This window comes from Homo sapiens, chromosome 16 (genome assembly GCF_000001405.40).
Source record: "Homo sapiens chromosome 16, GRCh38.p14 Primary Assembly".
Classification (NCBI taxonomy): domain Eukaryota; kingdom Metazoa; phylum Chordata; class Mammalia; order Primates; family Hominidae; genus Homo; species Homo sapiens.
The window spans coordinates 9,015,286-9,030,686 of NC_000016.10; the positions used below are offsets into that span (position 1 = coordinate 9,015,286).

A 15,401-nucleotide genomic window follows, 5' to 3' on the forward strand; every position below is an offset into this window, starting at 1 on the left:
GTGCAGTGGCACAATCTCAGCTCACTGCAACCTCCACCTCTTGGGTTCAAGCGATTTTCAGGCCTCAGCCTCCCTAGTATCTGGGATTACAGGTGCCCGCCACCACGCCAGGCTAATTTTTTTATATTTTTAGTAGAGATGGGGTTTCACCATGTTAGCCAGGCTGGTCTGAACTGCTGATCTCAAGTGATCTGCCCGCCTTGGCCTCCCAAAGTGCTGAGATTACAGGTGTGAGCCACCGCAGCCTGGAGTAGCCACTGTGGACTAGGATGTATCAGCCTGAATCTCTGACACTGCGGAACTGGCCTATCAGTCCTGGATGGAGGTGACTTAAGAGAAAAACAAACCTTTATCTCATTTTAGCCCCTATTAGTTTGACCTTTGTCACAGCAGCCAAACCAGTATCATAACTTGGCCGGGCGCGGTGGCTCATGCCTGTAATGCTAGTACTTTGGAAGGTACAGGCGGGAGAATCACCTGAGATCGAGGGTTTGAGACCAGCATGACCAACATGGAGAAACCCCATCTCTACTAAAAATACAAAATTAGCCGGGCGTGGTGGCACATGCCTGTAATCCCAGCTACTCGGGGGGCTGAAGCAGGAGAATCGCTTGAACCCGGGAGGCAGAGGTTGTGAGCCAAGATCACGCCATTGCACTCCAGCCTGGGCAACAAGAAACTCCGTCTCAAAAAAACAAACAACCAAAAACAAACAAACAAACAAACAAGAAAAAAACAGAGAGTCTCACTCTGTTGCCCAGGCTGGAGTGCAGTGATGGGATCTTGGCTAACTGCAGCCTCTGCCTTCTGGACTCAAGCGATCCTCCCACCTCAGCCTCCCAAGTAGCTGAGACTACAGGTGTGCACCACCACACCTGTATTTTTGTATTTTCTGTAGACTTGGGGTCTTGCTATATTGCCCAGGCTGGTCTCAAACTCCTGGGTTCAAGTGATTCACTTGCCTCAGCTTCCCAAAGTGCTAGGATTACAGATGTGAGCCACTGTGCCCAGCCCAGTTTCTGACCTTAATTATATTAGCAATGTCATATTCTATTTTTTTTCTTTAGAGACAGGGTTTCACTCTGTCACCCAGGCTAGAGTGCAGTGATGCAATAGTAGCTCACTGTAACCTCGAACTCCTGGCCTCAAATGATCCTCTTGCCTTGGCTTCCCAAAGCGCTGGGATTACAGGCGTGAACCATTGCATCCAACAACAATATCATAGTGTATTGGCTAGAAGTAAATCTCAGACCGGGCGCAGTGGCTCATGCCTGTAATCCCAGCACTTTGGGAGGCCAAGGTGGGTGGATCACCTGAGGTCGGGAATTCGAGACTAGCCTGACCAACATGGAGAAACCCCGTCACTACTAAAAATACAAAATTAGCCAGGCATGGTGGCGCATGCTTGTAATCCCAGCTACTCAGGAGGTTGAGGCAGGAGAATCACTTGAACCCGGGAGGTGGTGGTTGCGGTGAGCCAAGATCATGCCATTGCATTCCTGCCTGGGCAACCAGAGCGAAACTCCGTCTCAAAAAAAAAAAAAAAAAGCAAAGTCACCCAGGGTCTGTCACAGGGAATCTTGGCTGCAAATCCAGAGCTCTTTCCAGAAACCCTCAAAGTTTTCAGAGACATTATTGTTTTGCTCTCTCTGCCTTGGATGTTTCAAATAACAATCGCCATTGTTTGTCTTTATCAACCATGTTTATCCATGGGGCAGGCAAGTCTGCAAAGTGAATGAGCTGCTGAATGGCCTGTGTTCTCACCACTTCCTTCCCCATAGTTGGCAGCCCGGAGGCATCCTGGACATGAGACTTCAGTGAGCACAACAACCACCTCTGGGGCATTTGTTTACTCATTGCCCAATTTTGGCCACACTGTGGGGTCAGGATGGCACCACAATGCGCCATGACAGAGAAAGGGACCAATCAAGGGAGATACTGTTGTTCCCCATCATTCTGTCCTGGATCAGTGGAGGGACACGATAGGACCATATTAGGAGTTAGTAGTTATCAAATGCTTCCTCTAATTCAGACAAGTGCCTAGCACTTTGTGCATGGTTATTCCACTTAATGCTCAGAGCAACCCTTTAGGGTAGGCAGTATAATCAGCCTCATTTCTGGTTTTTTGTTTTTTGAGACAGAGTCTCATTCTTTCACCCAGGCTGGAGTGAAGTGGTGTGATCTGGGCTCACTGCAACCTCCACCCCCTGGGTTCAAGTGATTCTCCTGCCTCAGCCTCCCGAATAGCTGGGATTACAGGCATGCGCCACCATGCCCAGCTAATTTCTGTATTTTTAGTAGAGACGGGGCTTCGCCATGTGGCTAGGCTGGTCTCGAACTCTTGACCTTAGGTGATCCATCCGTTTTGGCCTCCCAAAATGCCGGGATTATAGGTGTGAGCCACCACACCTGGCCAGTCAGCCTCATTTTATAGAAGAGAAAGTGGAGGCTCAGAAAGGTGAAGTGACTTGCTCATAGTCCCATAGCCAGAACGTGGCAGAGCTGGGTCTCTCTGGTTCCCTAGCCAGTGCCTGCCCTGCTGTGTGTGCCCTTCTGTGCCTTTAGTGGATGCCTTTCAAGATCCCTCTTTTCGCCCATTCACAATGAGGCTCTGGAAGACAAATCTCCAGGTTTTAACAGCTTGGTACTCAATGCTAGGGAGATTCTCTAGCCCTATGAGAATTATTCTTGGCGGCCGGGTGCAGTGACTCATGCCTATAATCCCAGCTACTCGGGAGGCTGAGGTGGGTGGATCATCTGAGGTTAGGAGTTTGTAGATCAGCCTGGCCAACATGGCAAAACCCTGTCTCTACTAAAAATACAAAAATTAGCTAGGCGTGGTGGTGCAGGCTTGTAGTCCCAGCTACTGGGGAGGCTGAGGCAGGAGAATCACTACAACCCGGGAGGTGGAGTTCGCAGTGATCCAAGATTGCGCCACTGAACTCCAGTCTGGGGGACACAGCAAGACTCCATCTCAGAAGAAAAGAAAAAAAAAGGGAATTGTTCTTGGTATTTTCTTCTGAGCATGAATCTGCCTGTTTTTTCTTGGTTCAGAAACAGCCGCTGTGTGCAGGGTTGTGCTGGAGCCAGCCCATACCAGCTTGTGAGAACTGATTGTTAAGTCTTCAAAAATTTCGTTGTATTGTTTACAACAGCCAAAAAATGGAAATAAAAGAAATGCCTATTAGTTGGTAAATACAGCATATCCAGGCCGGATGTGGTGGCTCAAGCTTGTAATCCCAGCACTTTAGGAGGCCAAGGCAGGTGGATCACCTGAGGTTGGGAGTTTGAGACCACCCTGGCCAACATGGTGAAACCCCGTCTCTACTAAAAATGCAAAAATTAGCTGGGTGTGGTGGTAGGCACCTGTAATCTCAGCTACTCGGGAGGCTGAGGGAGGAGAATCTCTTGAACCTGGGAGGTGGAGGTTGCAGTGAGCCGAGATCATGCCACTGCACTCCAGCCTGGATGACAGAGTGAGACTCCATCTCAAGAAAAAAAAAAAAAAAGTGAAGATAATAAGTACTCAAAACTCATCACTTTCTAATTATTCTATTACATTTTAGCATTATCTGTGTGTTTGAGTTATTTATATCTGTTTCATCTGTATGATGGGGACACTGTATCATGGTGTGCCACTGTACATCTCTTCCCATCATCAACGTTACATCATCTCATGTTGGTAACTTAAAACCAGCCATGGTGGCCGGGCACATTGGGTCACACCTATAATCCCAGCACTTTGGGAGGCTGAAGTGGGAGGATGGCTTGAAGCTAGGGGTTTGAGACCAGCCTGGGCAACACAGTAAGACCCCGTCTCTACAAAACGTTTTTTTAAAAATTAGCCAGGCATGATGATGCACACCTGTGGCCCCAGCTACTCAGGAGGCCGAGGCAGGAGGATTGCATGAGCTCTTGAGTTTGAGGCTGCAGTGAGCTATTACTGCACCACTGCACTCCAGCGGGGGTGACACAGTAAGAATCTGTCTCTAAAAAATAAAAAAGAGGGGCCAGGCATGGTGGCTCATGCCTGTAATCCCAGAGCTTTGGGAGGCCGAGGCAGGTGGATTACAAGGTCAGGAGATCAAGACCATCCTGGCCAACATGGTGAAACCCCATGTCTACTAAAAATACAAAAATTAGCTAGGCATGGTGGCGCCCGCCTGTAGTCCCAGCTACTCGGGAGGCTGAGACAGGAGAATCGCTTGAATCCAGGAGGCGGAGGTTGCAGTGAACCAAGATTGTGCCACTGCACTCCAGCCTGGCGACAGAGCAAGACACCATCTCAAATAAATAAAAAATAAATAAATAAATAAATAAGAGATTAGCAATATCAATCAATTGTAATGTTTGAACCTTACTTGGATTTTTTTTTTTTTTTTTGAGATGGAGTCTCACTCTGACACCAGGCTGCAGTGCAGTGGCATGATCTCAGCTCACTGCAACCTCCACCTCCTAGGTTCAAGCGATTCTTGTTGCCTCAGCCTGCTGAGTAGCTGGGATTACAGGCGTGCATCACCACACCCAGCTAATTTTTGTATTTTCAGTAGAGACGGGGTTTCACTGTGTTGGCTAGGATGGTCTCCATCTCCTGACTTCATGATCTGCCCACCTCGGTCTCCCAAAGGGCTGGGATTACAGGCGTGAGCCACCGTGCCTGGCCCCTTATTTGAATTTTAATCCAAATAAACAGTAAAACATTCTCAGAGATTTGATCACTAAACTGGATTATTTACTTATTTATTTATTTATGTGAGATGGAGTCGCACTGTCTCGCCCAGGCTGGAGTGCAGTGTCATGATCTCGGCTCCCTGCAACCTCCACCTCCCAGATTCAAGCAATTCTCCTGCCTCAGCCTCCTAAGTAGCTGGGACTACAGGCATCTGCCACCACACCCAGCTAATTTTTGTATTTTTAGTAGAGACGAGATTTCACCATATTGGTCAGGCTGGTCTGGAACTCCTGATCTTGTGATCTGCCTACCTTGGCCTCCCAAAGTGCTGGGATTACAGGCATGAGCCACTGCACCTGGCCTTTATTTATTTATTTATTTATTTATTTATTTATTTATTTATTTAATTTCAGACAGATTCTCACTCTGTTGCCCAGGCTGGAGTGCAGTGGTGCCATCTCAGCTCACTGCAACCTGCGCCTCCTGGGTTCAAGGCATTCTCCTGCCTCGGCCTCCTGAGTAGCTGGGATTACAGGTGTGTGCCACCATGCCTGGCTAATTTTTGTATTTTTAGTAGAGATGGGGTTTTGCCATGTTGGTCAGGCTGGTCTTGAACTCCTGACCTCAGTTGATCTACCTGTCTTGGCCTCCCCGAGTGTTGGGATTACAGGTGTGAGCCACTGCGCCTGGTCTGGATATTTTATTACATTGAGGAATTACTGAACTATGGTTTTAGTGTGTTCCCTCCAAAATTCGTGCTTAAACTTAATCCCTACTGTGGCAATATTAAGTGATGGGGCCTTCTCTGCCCTCGTGAATGGACTAGTGCCTTATAAAAGGGCTGGAGGAAACAAGGTTGGGCTCTTTTAGCCTGTCATCCCTTCCACTACGTGAGGACACCTAGTCAGTGACATCTACAAGGAATGGGTCATCACCAGACACCAAACTTGCTGGCACCTTGATCTTGAACTTCCCAGCCCCTAGAACTATGAGAAAATAAATTTCTCTTATTTATAAATTACCCAGTCTGTTGTATTTTGTTATAGCAGAACAAACAGACCAAGACATACTGTTAAAATTGCTAGCTGTGATGATGATGTTGTAACTATGGTTTTGTTTAGTTTCTGTAGGGACAGGGTCTCTCTGTGTTGACCAGGCTGATCTTAAGTGATCCTCCCACCTCACCCTGGTAACATTGCCTCTTTGTTTGTTTGTTTTGGTTTTTTTTTTTGAGATGGAGCCTCACTCTGTCTCCAGGTTCGAATACAGTTGCGTGATCTCCGCTCACTGCAACTTCCGCCTCCCGGGTTCAAGCGTTTCTCTTGCCTCAGCCTTCCGAGTAGCTGGGATTACAGGCGGGCACTACCAAGCCCAGCAAATTTTTGTATTTTTAGTAGAGACAGGGTTTCACCATGTTGGCCAGGATGGTCTCCATCTCTTAATCTCATGATCTGCCAACCTCGGCCTCCCAAAGTGCTGGGATTACAGGCATGAGCCACTGTGCCCTGTTCGGGGTCTATTCTGAAATATTTATGTTTGAAATAATAAGAATGTCTGAAATTTGCTTCAAATTGATCTAGTGGGAGTAGGAATTAGGTGGAGGTAGAGGTAACACAAGACTGGTGATGAGTGGCCAGTGGTTGAAGCTGGCTGATGGGGCCACAAGTGGGATCATTGTGCCATTCTCTCTATTTTGGTGTATGTTTGGAATTTTTCTTAAGAAAATTAAAAAACAGTGTGCATGTGGGAAGGGAGAGAATATATAGAACTAGTTGCTAGGATATATGTAGATGCTTTCTGGAAGGACAAAAGGAACCAGTAACAATGTTGGCAACTGGGCTGAGAAACTGGGGAAGAGAGACAGGCGAAGGAGGGAGACTTCTCACTCTCTACACTACTCAAATATTACTTGTTGTTGTTTTTATTTATTTATTTTTTTTTACAGAGTTTTGCTCTGTCACCCAGGCTGGAGTGCAGTGGCGTGATCTCGGCTCCCCTGCAACCTCTGCCTCCCAGGTGCAAGTGATTCTCCTGCCTCAGCCTCCCAAGTAGCTGGGATTACAGGCAAGCACCACCATGCCTGGCTAATTTGACCACAGCTTCTTTCATCCCCCTTTTACAGGTGAGGAGGCAAAGACTCAGAGAGAGAGGTGAAGGGACTTGTAAATGGCAGAGCTAAGACTGAACCCAGGGTTCCTGGAGCCCTGAGTAGGACATAGAATCAGCAGAGAATTCTAGAACCTAAAAGGCCACATGCACCAAGATGGTGGATGTCTCCATGGCAACCTGTGTTGATAAATGACAGAGGGGCACTTTGGTACCATGCCACCCTCCAGGACCGTAGCTCAGGTGTGGAGAGGGGTGGGAGTACCAGGAAGGACTTGGGCTTGGGCTTGAGTTTGGCCTAGCTCAACGATGGCTCAAATAGAAATGAACTTGAGTCTGGTGCAGTGGCTTACGCCTTTAATCCCAGCAATTTGGGAGGCTGAGGCAGGGGGATCACCTGAGGTTAGGAGTTCAAGACCATCCTGGCCAACATGGCAAAACCCCGTCTCTACTAAAAATATAAAAACTAGCTGGGCGTGGTGGCACACGCCTGTAGTCCCAGCTACTCAGGAGGCTGAGGCAGGAGAATTGCTTGAACCCAGGAGGTGGAGGTTGCAGTAAGCCAAGGTTGTGCCACTGCACTCTAGCCTGGGCAACAGAGCAAGACTTTGTCTCACAAAAAAAAAAAAAAAAAAAAGAAAGAGAAAGAAAGAAAGAAATGAACTTGAACTCTAGAAATCTAAGAAAGTGATGTGCTTGCACAGTTCAGTTTGTGGTCTATATATAGTAGTAACTGGGCACAGGAATCAGACTGCCAGGTCGATATAACTAACCTAGGGCTGCCTATAAGGCACGGCGACTCACATCTGTAATCTCAGTGCTTTGGGGGCCGAGGCTGGACCATCGCTTGAGGCCAGGAGTTCAAGGCAGGTCTGGGCAATATAGCGACCACTGTATTCCAGCCTGAGTGATAGAGTAAGACCCTGTTTATGAAAAAAAAAAAAAAAAAAATCAACCATAGTGGGAGTATTTACAAAAGAGCCATCAGCAGATACTACAAACCCTGGCTTTATTTGTTGAGTTGATTGTCCGGGTTTGAGAAAGTGATAGACTTTTTTTTTTTTTTTTTAGACGGAGCCTCACTCTACTGCCTAGGCTGGAGTGCAATACCAGTATCTCAGCTCACTGCAACTACCACCTCCTGGGTTCAAGCGATTCTCCTGCCTCAGCCTCCCACATAGCTGGGATTACAGGCACGTGCTGCCATACCGGCTAATTTTTAGTAGAGATGGGGTTTCACCATGTTGACCGGGCTGGTCTTGAACTCCTGACCTCAGGTGATCCACCCGCCTCGGCCTCCCAAAGTGCTGGGATAACAGGAGTGAGCCACCACGCCCGGCCTGAGAGAATGTTAATAAGGCAGGTCAAACTCAAAGCGTATCATATCTGTAACCATTCCATTGTGAATAGTACAACAAATGGAGAAAAATCTTGCAATATTCAAGATCCAATTCAACAAACATGTTGGTCACATTGACAAATGAGCAAAGTTCGCTGAATGCAGTGGCTCACACCTGTAATCCCAGCACTTTGGGAGGCCAAGGCAGGTGAACCCCTTGAGCCCAGGAGTTCAAGACCAGTCTAGACAACGTGACAAAACCCTGTCTCTAAAAAAGAATACAAAAATTAGCTGGACATGGTGGTGTGTGCCTGTAGTCCCAGTTACTCTTTAGACTGAGGTGGGAGAATCACTTGAGCCCAGGAGGTTGAGGCTGCAGTGAGCTGAGATTATGCCACTGCACTCCAGCCTGGTGACAGATCAAGACCCTGTCTCAAAAAAAAAAAAAAAAAAAAGAGAAGAAAAAAGAAAAAGCAAAGTTCCAATATACACTATCATTGTTTCATTTCACTTTCGTCTCACTTGTTAATATAAATTTAAATATCAGCCAAATTTATCCAAACTATACCTGGAAGGCTGGTTTTAAACATTTACTAGCACACTACAGGTTGTGTGGCCTTTGTAGGCCAATAATCCTAAATTAAAATCTTTGCTTTGCCACTTATTTGCAGGGTGACCTTAAAAAGTTCACTGTGTTTTCTGAACGATGTATTTTCCTTTACTGTAAAATAGGGTCTATAATACTGACCTCATATAATTAATCATAGCCTTAATGTGTACTACTATATGCCAACTATATGCTAAGTGTATTAAGGATTATATAGATACTGTCTATAATATATAGTAGCTGGGATTACAGGCGTGAGCCACCACACCCGACCTCATAATTACACTTGCAAAAAAACCTCAGTTGGCCAGGCGCAGTGGCTCACACCTGTAGGTCCAGCACTTTGGGAGGCCAAGGCGGGTGGATCACCTGAGGTTGGGAGTTCGAGACCAGCCTGACAAACATGGAGAAACTCCATCTCTACTAAAAATACAAAATTACCCGGGCGTAGTGGTGTGCATCTGTAGTCCCAGCTACTTGGGAGGCTGAGGCAGGAGAATCGCTTGAACCTGGGAGGTGGAGGCTGCAGTGAGCAGAGATGGCACCACTGCACTCCAGCCTGGGCAACAGAATGAGACCCTGTCTCAACAAAACAAAACCAAAACAACAACAGCAACAGCAACAACAAAAACATTTATCCAAAAAGCCCTTTGGGTCCAGGGGCTCCACAGTTTTCTTTTTATCCTCCACATGAACTTTAGCAAATGAAACAAGCTGTTCTGCATCATACTTTACTTAATGATACAGCCTGGATACGATTGCATATAATGTGCTTTAGACTTTTGAAAACAAAAGCTCAAAAGATTATTTCTGTGTGATACAGGATCCCTTGCTACACATCTCCCCAGAGGCAATGAATGTTTGAATTCAGAGACAGGAAGAGGAGATACAGAGAGAATACTCAGCAGATGGAAAATCCCTGAACGCATTACCTAGAGAAGTGCATCAACAATAATCCCATCTTCCTTATTCACTCTTTGGTCATATCTTTAAAAAAATGCCTTTCCATTTAATAATTCTTTTTTTTTTTTTTTTTGAGATGGAGTCTCGCTCTGTCTCCCAGGCTGGAGTGCAGTGGCGCGATCTCCGCTCACTGCAAGCTCCAACTCCCAGGTTCACGCCATTCTCCTGCCTCAGCCTCCAGAGTAGCTGGGACTACAGGTGCCCACCACCAAGCCCGGCTATTTTTTTTTTTTTTTTTTTTGTATTTTTAGTAGAGATGGGGTTTCACCGTGTTAGCCAGGATGGTCTCGATCTCCTGACCTCGTGATCCACCCACCTCGGCCTCCCAAAGTGCTGGGATTACAGGCATGAGCCACCGCGCCCGGCCAATAATTCTTTTTTTGTTGTTGAGACGGGGTCTCTCTCTGTTGCCCAGGCTGGAGTGCGGTGGTGTGATCACAACTCACTGCAAGCCTCGACCTCCCAGGCTCAAGCTATCCTCCCACCTCAGCCTCCTGAGTAGCTGGGAATATAGGCATGTCTCACCACTCCCAGCTAATTTTTTGTATTTTTTGTAGAGATGGGGTTTCGCCATGTCACCCAGGCTGGTCTCAAACTCCTAGACTCAAATGATCTGCCTGCCTTGGCCTCCCAAAGTGTTGTGATTACATGTGTGAGCCACAGTCCAGTAATTCCTTTTTTTTTTTTTTTTTTTTTTTTTTGAGGTGGAGTCTCGCTCCGTCGCCCAGGCTGTAGTGCAGTGGCACAATCTCCGCTCACTGCAGCCTCCGTCTCCCAGGTTCAAGCGAGTCTCCTGCCTCAGCCTCCTGAATAGCTGGGATTACAGGCACACACCACCACACGTGGCTAATTTTTGTATTTTTTTTTAGTAGAGATGGGGGTCTCTCTATGTTGGCCAGGCTGGTCTTGAACTCCTGACCTCAAATGATGCACCTGCCTCAGCCTCCCAAATTGCTGGGATTACAGGCATGAGCCACTGCGACTGGCCTAGTCATTCTTAAGAGTGGTAACACACTACTTATGGAAGAGCAAAAAATGCATTTAGTCAAATACAGTCACGCGTCGCTTAACAACGGGGCATGTGCTGAGAAAGGAGTCCTTAGGCAATTTTGTCATTGGGGGAGCATCACAGAGTGCACTTGCACAAACCTAGATGGTCTAGCCTACTACACAGCTAGGATATAGGTCTAGCCTATTACTCCAATGCTACAAACCTATACTGCATGTTACTGTGCTGAAAGGCATTTGTAATGCAGTGGGAAGTAGTTGATTATCTAAACATAGAAAAGGTACAGTAAAAACCTGCTATTATTATTTATTTATTGTTATTATTATTATTATTTTGAGATGGAGTCTCACTCTGTCACCCAGGCTGTAGTACAATGGTGCACTCTTGGCTGACTGCAGCCTCCGCCTCCCGGGTTCAACCGATTCTCCTGCCTTAGCCTCCCAAGTAGATGGGATTACAGGCATCTACCACCGTGCTTGGCTAATTTGTTGTATTTTTGGTAGACACGGCATTTCACCATGTTGGCCAGGCTTGTCTCAAACTCCTGACCTCAAGTGATCTGCCCTCCTCAGTCTCCAAAAGTGCTGGAATTACAGGCATGAGCCACCGAGCCCGGCCAAAACCTGATATTATCATCTCTTTTTTTTTTTTTTTTTTGAGACAGAGTCTTGCTCTGTTGCCCAGGCTGGAGTGCAGTGGCGCTATCTCGGCTCACTGCAAGCTCTGCCTCCCAGGTTCATGCCATTCTCCTGCCTCAGCCTCCCGAGTAGCTGGGACTACAGGCGCCCGCCACCACGCCCGGCTGATTTTTTTGTATTTTTAGTAGAGACAGGGTTTCACTGTGTTAGCCAGGATGTTCTCCATCTCCTGAACTCGTGATCTGCCCCCCACGGCCTCCGAAAGTGCTGGGATTACAGGCGTGAGCCACCGCACCCGGCCTGATATTATAATCTTATAGGCCCACCGTTGTATTTGCAGTCTATCGTTGACTGAAACGTCCTTATGTGGCACATGGCTGTAGTCACCTTTTAACACATAGTGCTGAAAAATTCCTTCTCTTGTCTCATATAATTAGCGTATGCCAAAAACCATAGCCCCATTCAGGAACCATAAGAAAACAGCAGTTTGTCCATCTCCAATTTCCCAGAGCCTCAAGGAATTCACTTTCTTTCCTTAACAGCTGAGATTGTAGCGAGGACGCCGCAAACTGAATTCTAGAAACTCCTGTTCTCTCCACCTTCCCCTACACTCAGCCCCCTCCCTCCTTGTCTTGTCAGCTTCTGACAGGTTTCAGCAAGAATCTAAAGTTCAAAAAGTTATGTTCCCGGAACTAAATGCCCGGGAGCCTCGAGTAATCTTTCTTTGCATAATACAGTACTTCGGGTTACTCTTCAAATGCCAAAATGCCTTCCACCTTTCTTTCTCAATTCTGATACTGAGAAATAGTGGATACTGAGAAATACTGCTTTGCTGAAAGAAAAACAGCAGTTCAAATGTAAAGGTAATCCATTTGAAATTCTAATTTCAGCCTCATCCCTGGGCAACAGTAGAGAGGGGTGGAGACTGTGGCGAACTAGGGTTGCATGCCCTTTCTAAAGAGGCGGCTCCTGTTGAATTCTGGCTGCTTGTTGCCAGGGGAGGTGTGGGCACAGTGTTGCCACATCTTAGAAATTTTTTTTTTTTTTTTGAGATGGAGTCTTGCTTTGTCACCCCAGGCTGGAGTGCAGTGGTACGATCTCGGCTAGTGAGCTGAGATCCTCCTCCTCCAGGCTTCGACCGATTCTCCTGCCTCAGCCTCCTGAGTAGCTAAGATTATAGGGGCCTGCCACCATGCCCGGCTAATCTTTTTTTTTTTTTTTTTTTTTTTTTTGAGACGGAGTCTTGCTCTGTTGCCCAGGCTGGAGTGCAGTGGCGCGATCTCAGCTCACTGCAAGCTCCGCCTCCCATGCCCAGCTAATTTTTTGGGTATTTTTTTGTAGAGATGGGGTTTCACCAGGTTGGCCAAGCTGGTCTCGAACTCCTGACCTCAACTGATCCACCCTCCTCGACCTCCCAAAGTGCTGGGATTAGAGGCATGAGCCACTGTGCCTGGCCAGAAATTTTCATTTGTCTTTTTATTAATTTTTTAAAAATTGACGGGGTCTTTCTATGTTGCCCAGGCTGATCTCAAACTCCTGAGCTCAAGTGATCCTCCTGCCTCTGCCTCCCAAAGTGCTGGGATTACAGGCATGAGCCACCAGCCCCACCCATTTTAGCAATTTTCAAGAGATATTGGAAATCTGCAGTTGATGTTTGTTGAGTTTTAAATGGTGACTCAATTTTTTAAATAAAGCATTTTGCCAGCCAAACAAAAATACATTTCTGGGCTAAATTCTGATTTTCAGACCTTTAGTTTGTAATTCTCTTTCCTTTATTATTATTTTTATTTATTTATGTATTTATTTATTTTTGAGACAGAGTCTCACTCTGTTGCCCAGGTTGGAGTGCAATGGTGCAGTCTCGGCTCACTGCAACCTCCGTCTCACGGGTTCAAGCGATCCTCCTGCCTCAGCCTCCCGAGTAGCTGTGACAGGCACGCCCGGTTAATTTTTGTATTTTTCTTTTTCTTTTTTTTTTTTTTTTTGAGATCCGTCTCACTCTTGTCCCTCAGGCTGGAATGCGATGGCGCCATCTCGGCTCACTGCAACCTCCGCCTCCTGAGTTCAAGAGATTTTCCTGTCTCGGCCCCCTGAGGAGCTGGGATTATAGGCGCCTGCCACCACGCCCAGCTAATTTTTTTGTATTTTTAGTTGAGACGAGGTTTCACCATGTTGGCCACGCTGGTGGAGAACTCCTGACCTCAGGCGATACGCCTGCCTCGGCCTCCCAAAGTGCTGAGATTACAGGCATGAGCCACCACGCCCGGTCAATTTTTGTATTTTTAGTAGAGACGAGGTTTCACCATCTTGGCCAGGCTGGTCTTGAACTCTGGACCTCAAGTGATCTGCCTGCCTCCGCCTCCCAAAGTGCTGGGATTACAGGCATGAGCCACCTTGCCTGGCCATAGACTTTTTGAATTTAGGTGTCAGGTTCTATGTTGGGTGTTGGGTTGAAGTTCTGGAAAGGGGATAATAGGAAGAGGGTAACATTTGTGCCTAATCAATTGGTCACATCGTTTGTCTACCTAGCTTTATTTTTTTTTTCGATTTTTTTTTTTTTTTTTGAGACAGAGTTTCGCTCTTGTTGCCCAGGCTGGAGTGCAATAGCGTGATCTCAGCTCACTGCAACCTCTGCCTCCTGAGTTCAAGCGATTCTCCTGCCTCAGCCTCCTCAGTAATTGAGATGACAGGCATGCGCCACCACACCTGGCTAATTTTGTATTTTTAGTAGAGATGGGGTTTCTCCATGTGATCAGGCTGGTTTCGAACTCCCGACATCAGGTGAACTGCACCTGGCCTTGTCTACCTAGCTTTCTAAGTACTTACCTACCTGGGGCCTCCCTATCTTTTTCTTTTTCTTTATATAGTAAAATGTTTTTCCTTCTTTTTTTGTGAAAATTAAATTTGTATCACATAAAATTAACCGTCTCAATTCAGTGGCATTTAGCATGTCATCATGTTGTGCAACCACCACCTCTATCTAGAGATCTCTCTCTCTCTCTTTTTTTCGAGACAGGATCTGGCTCTGTTGCCCAGGCTTGAGTGCAGCGGTGCCATCCTAGCTCACTGCCACATTCACTTCCTGGGCTCAAGCAATCCTCCTGCCTCAGCCTCCCAGGTGACTGGGCTCACAGGTGCCTGCCTCTATGCCTAAGTTTTAAAATTTCTTGTAGGGACTGGTGTGGTGTCTCACACCTGTAATCCCAGCAACTTTGGAAAGCCAAGGGAGGTGGGTCATCTGAGGTCAGGAGTTGGAGACCAATCTGACCAAGATGGTGAAACCCCGTCTCCACTAAAAATACAAAAAAAATTAGCCAGGTGTGGTGGCACACGCCTGTAATCCCAGCTATTCGGGAGGCTGAGGCAGGAGAATTGCTTGAACCCGGGAGGCAGAGGTTGCAGTGAGCCATGATTGCACCGCTGCACTCTAGGCCTGTGCAACAAAAGCAAAACTCCCTCTCAAAAAAAAAAAATAAATAAATAAATAAAATAAAATAAAATAAAATTTCTTGTAGGAATGGGGTCTCACTATGTTACCCAGGCTGCTCTCTATCTCCTGGGCTCAAGGGATTTGTCTGCCCGGCCTTCCAATGTACCGGGGTTACAAATGTGAGTCATTTTACCTGGCTGAGGTATCTCTTTATCTAGAGATACCTAATATTTCTAATATCTCTCCAAAACATTTTCTTCATCTCAGAAGAAAACTCTTATTAAGCGATTTCTCCCCATTCCCTCCTCTTCCAAGTCCCTGACAACCACCAATCTGTTTTTCTTTTGTTGTTGTTTTTGGGACAGAGTCTCACTCTGTCGCCCAGGCTGGAGAGAAGTGGCACCATCTAGGCTTGCTGCAACCTCTGCAACACCCCCCCCGCCCCCCATTCCGGGTTCAAGCGATTCTCCAGCCTCAGCTTCCCGAGTAGCTGGGATTACAGGCACCTGCCACCGTGCTTGGCTAATATTTTGTATTTTTAGTAGAGAGGGGTCTCCACCATCTTGGCCAGGCTGGTCTTGAACTCCTGACCTCATGATCCACCTGCCTCGGCCTCCCAAAGTGCTGGGATTACAGG

At 46.8% G+C, this 15,401-nt stretch overlaps 2 annotated features.

Annotated features, from left to right (window-relative positions):
- Positions 227–521: a silencer, noted in NCBI's record as "tiled region #10025; K562 Repressive non-DNase unmatched - State 22:ReprW". NCBI's record gives its function as "represses a minimal TATA promoter and a strong SV40 promoter by Sharpr-MPRA in K562 cells {active_cell/tissue: K562}" and the evidence as "EXISTENCE:reporter gene assay evidence [ECO:0000049][PMID:27701403]".
- Positions 11,177–11,676: an enhancer, noted in NCBI's record as "H3K4me1 hESC enhancer chr16:9120319-9120818 (GRCh37/hg19 assembly coordinates)". NCBI's record gives its function as "activates a minimal SCP1, AML or CMV promoter by ChIP-STARR-seq in primed H9 embryonic stem cells {active_cell/tissue: H9 hESC(primed)}" and the evidence as "EXISTENCE:reporter gene assay evidence [ECO:0000049][PMID:30033119]".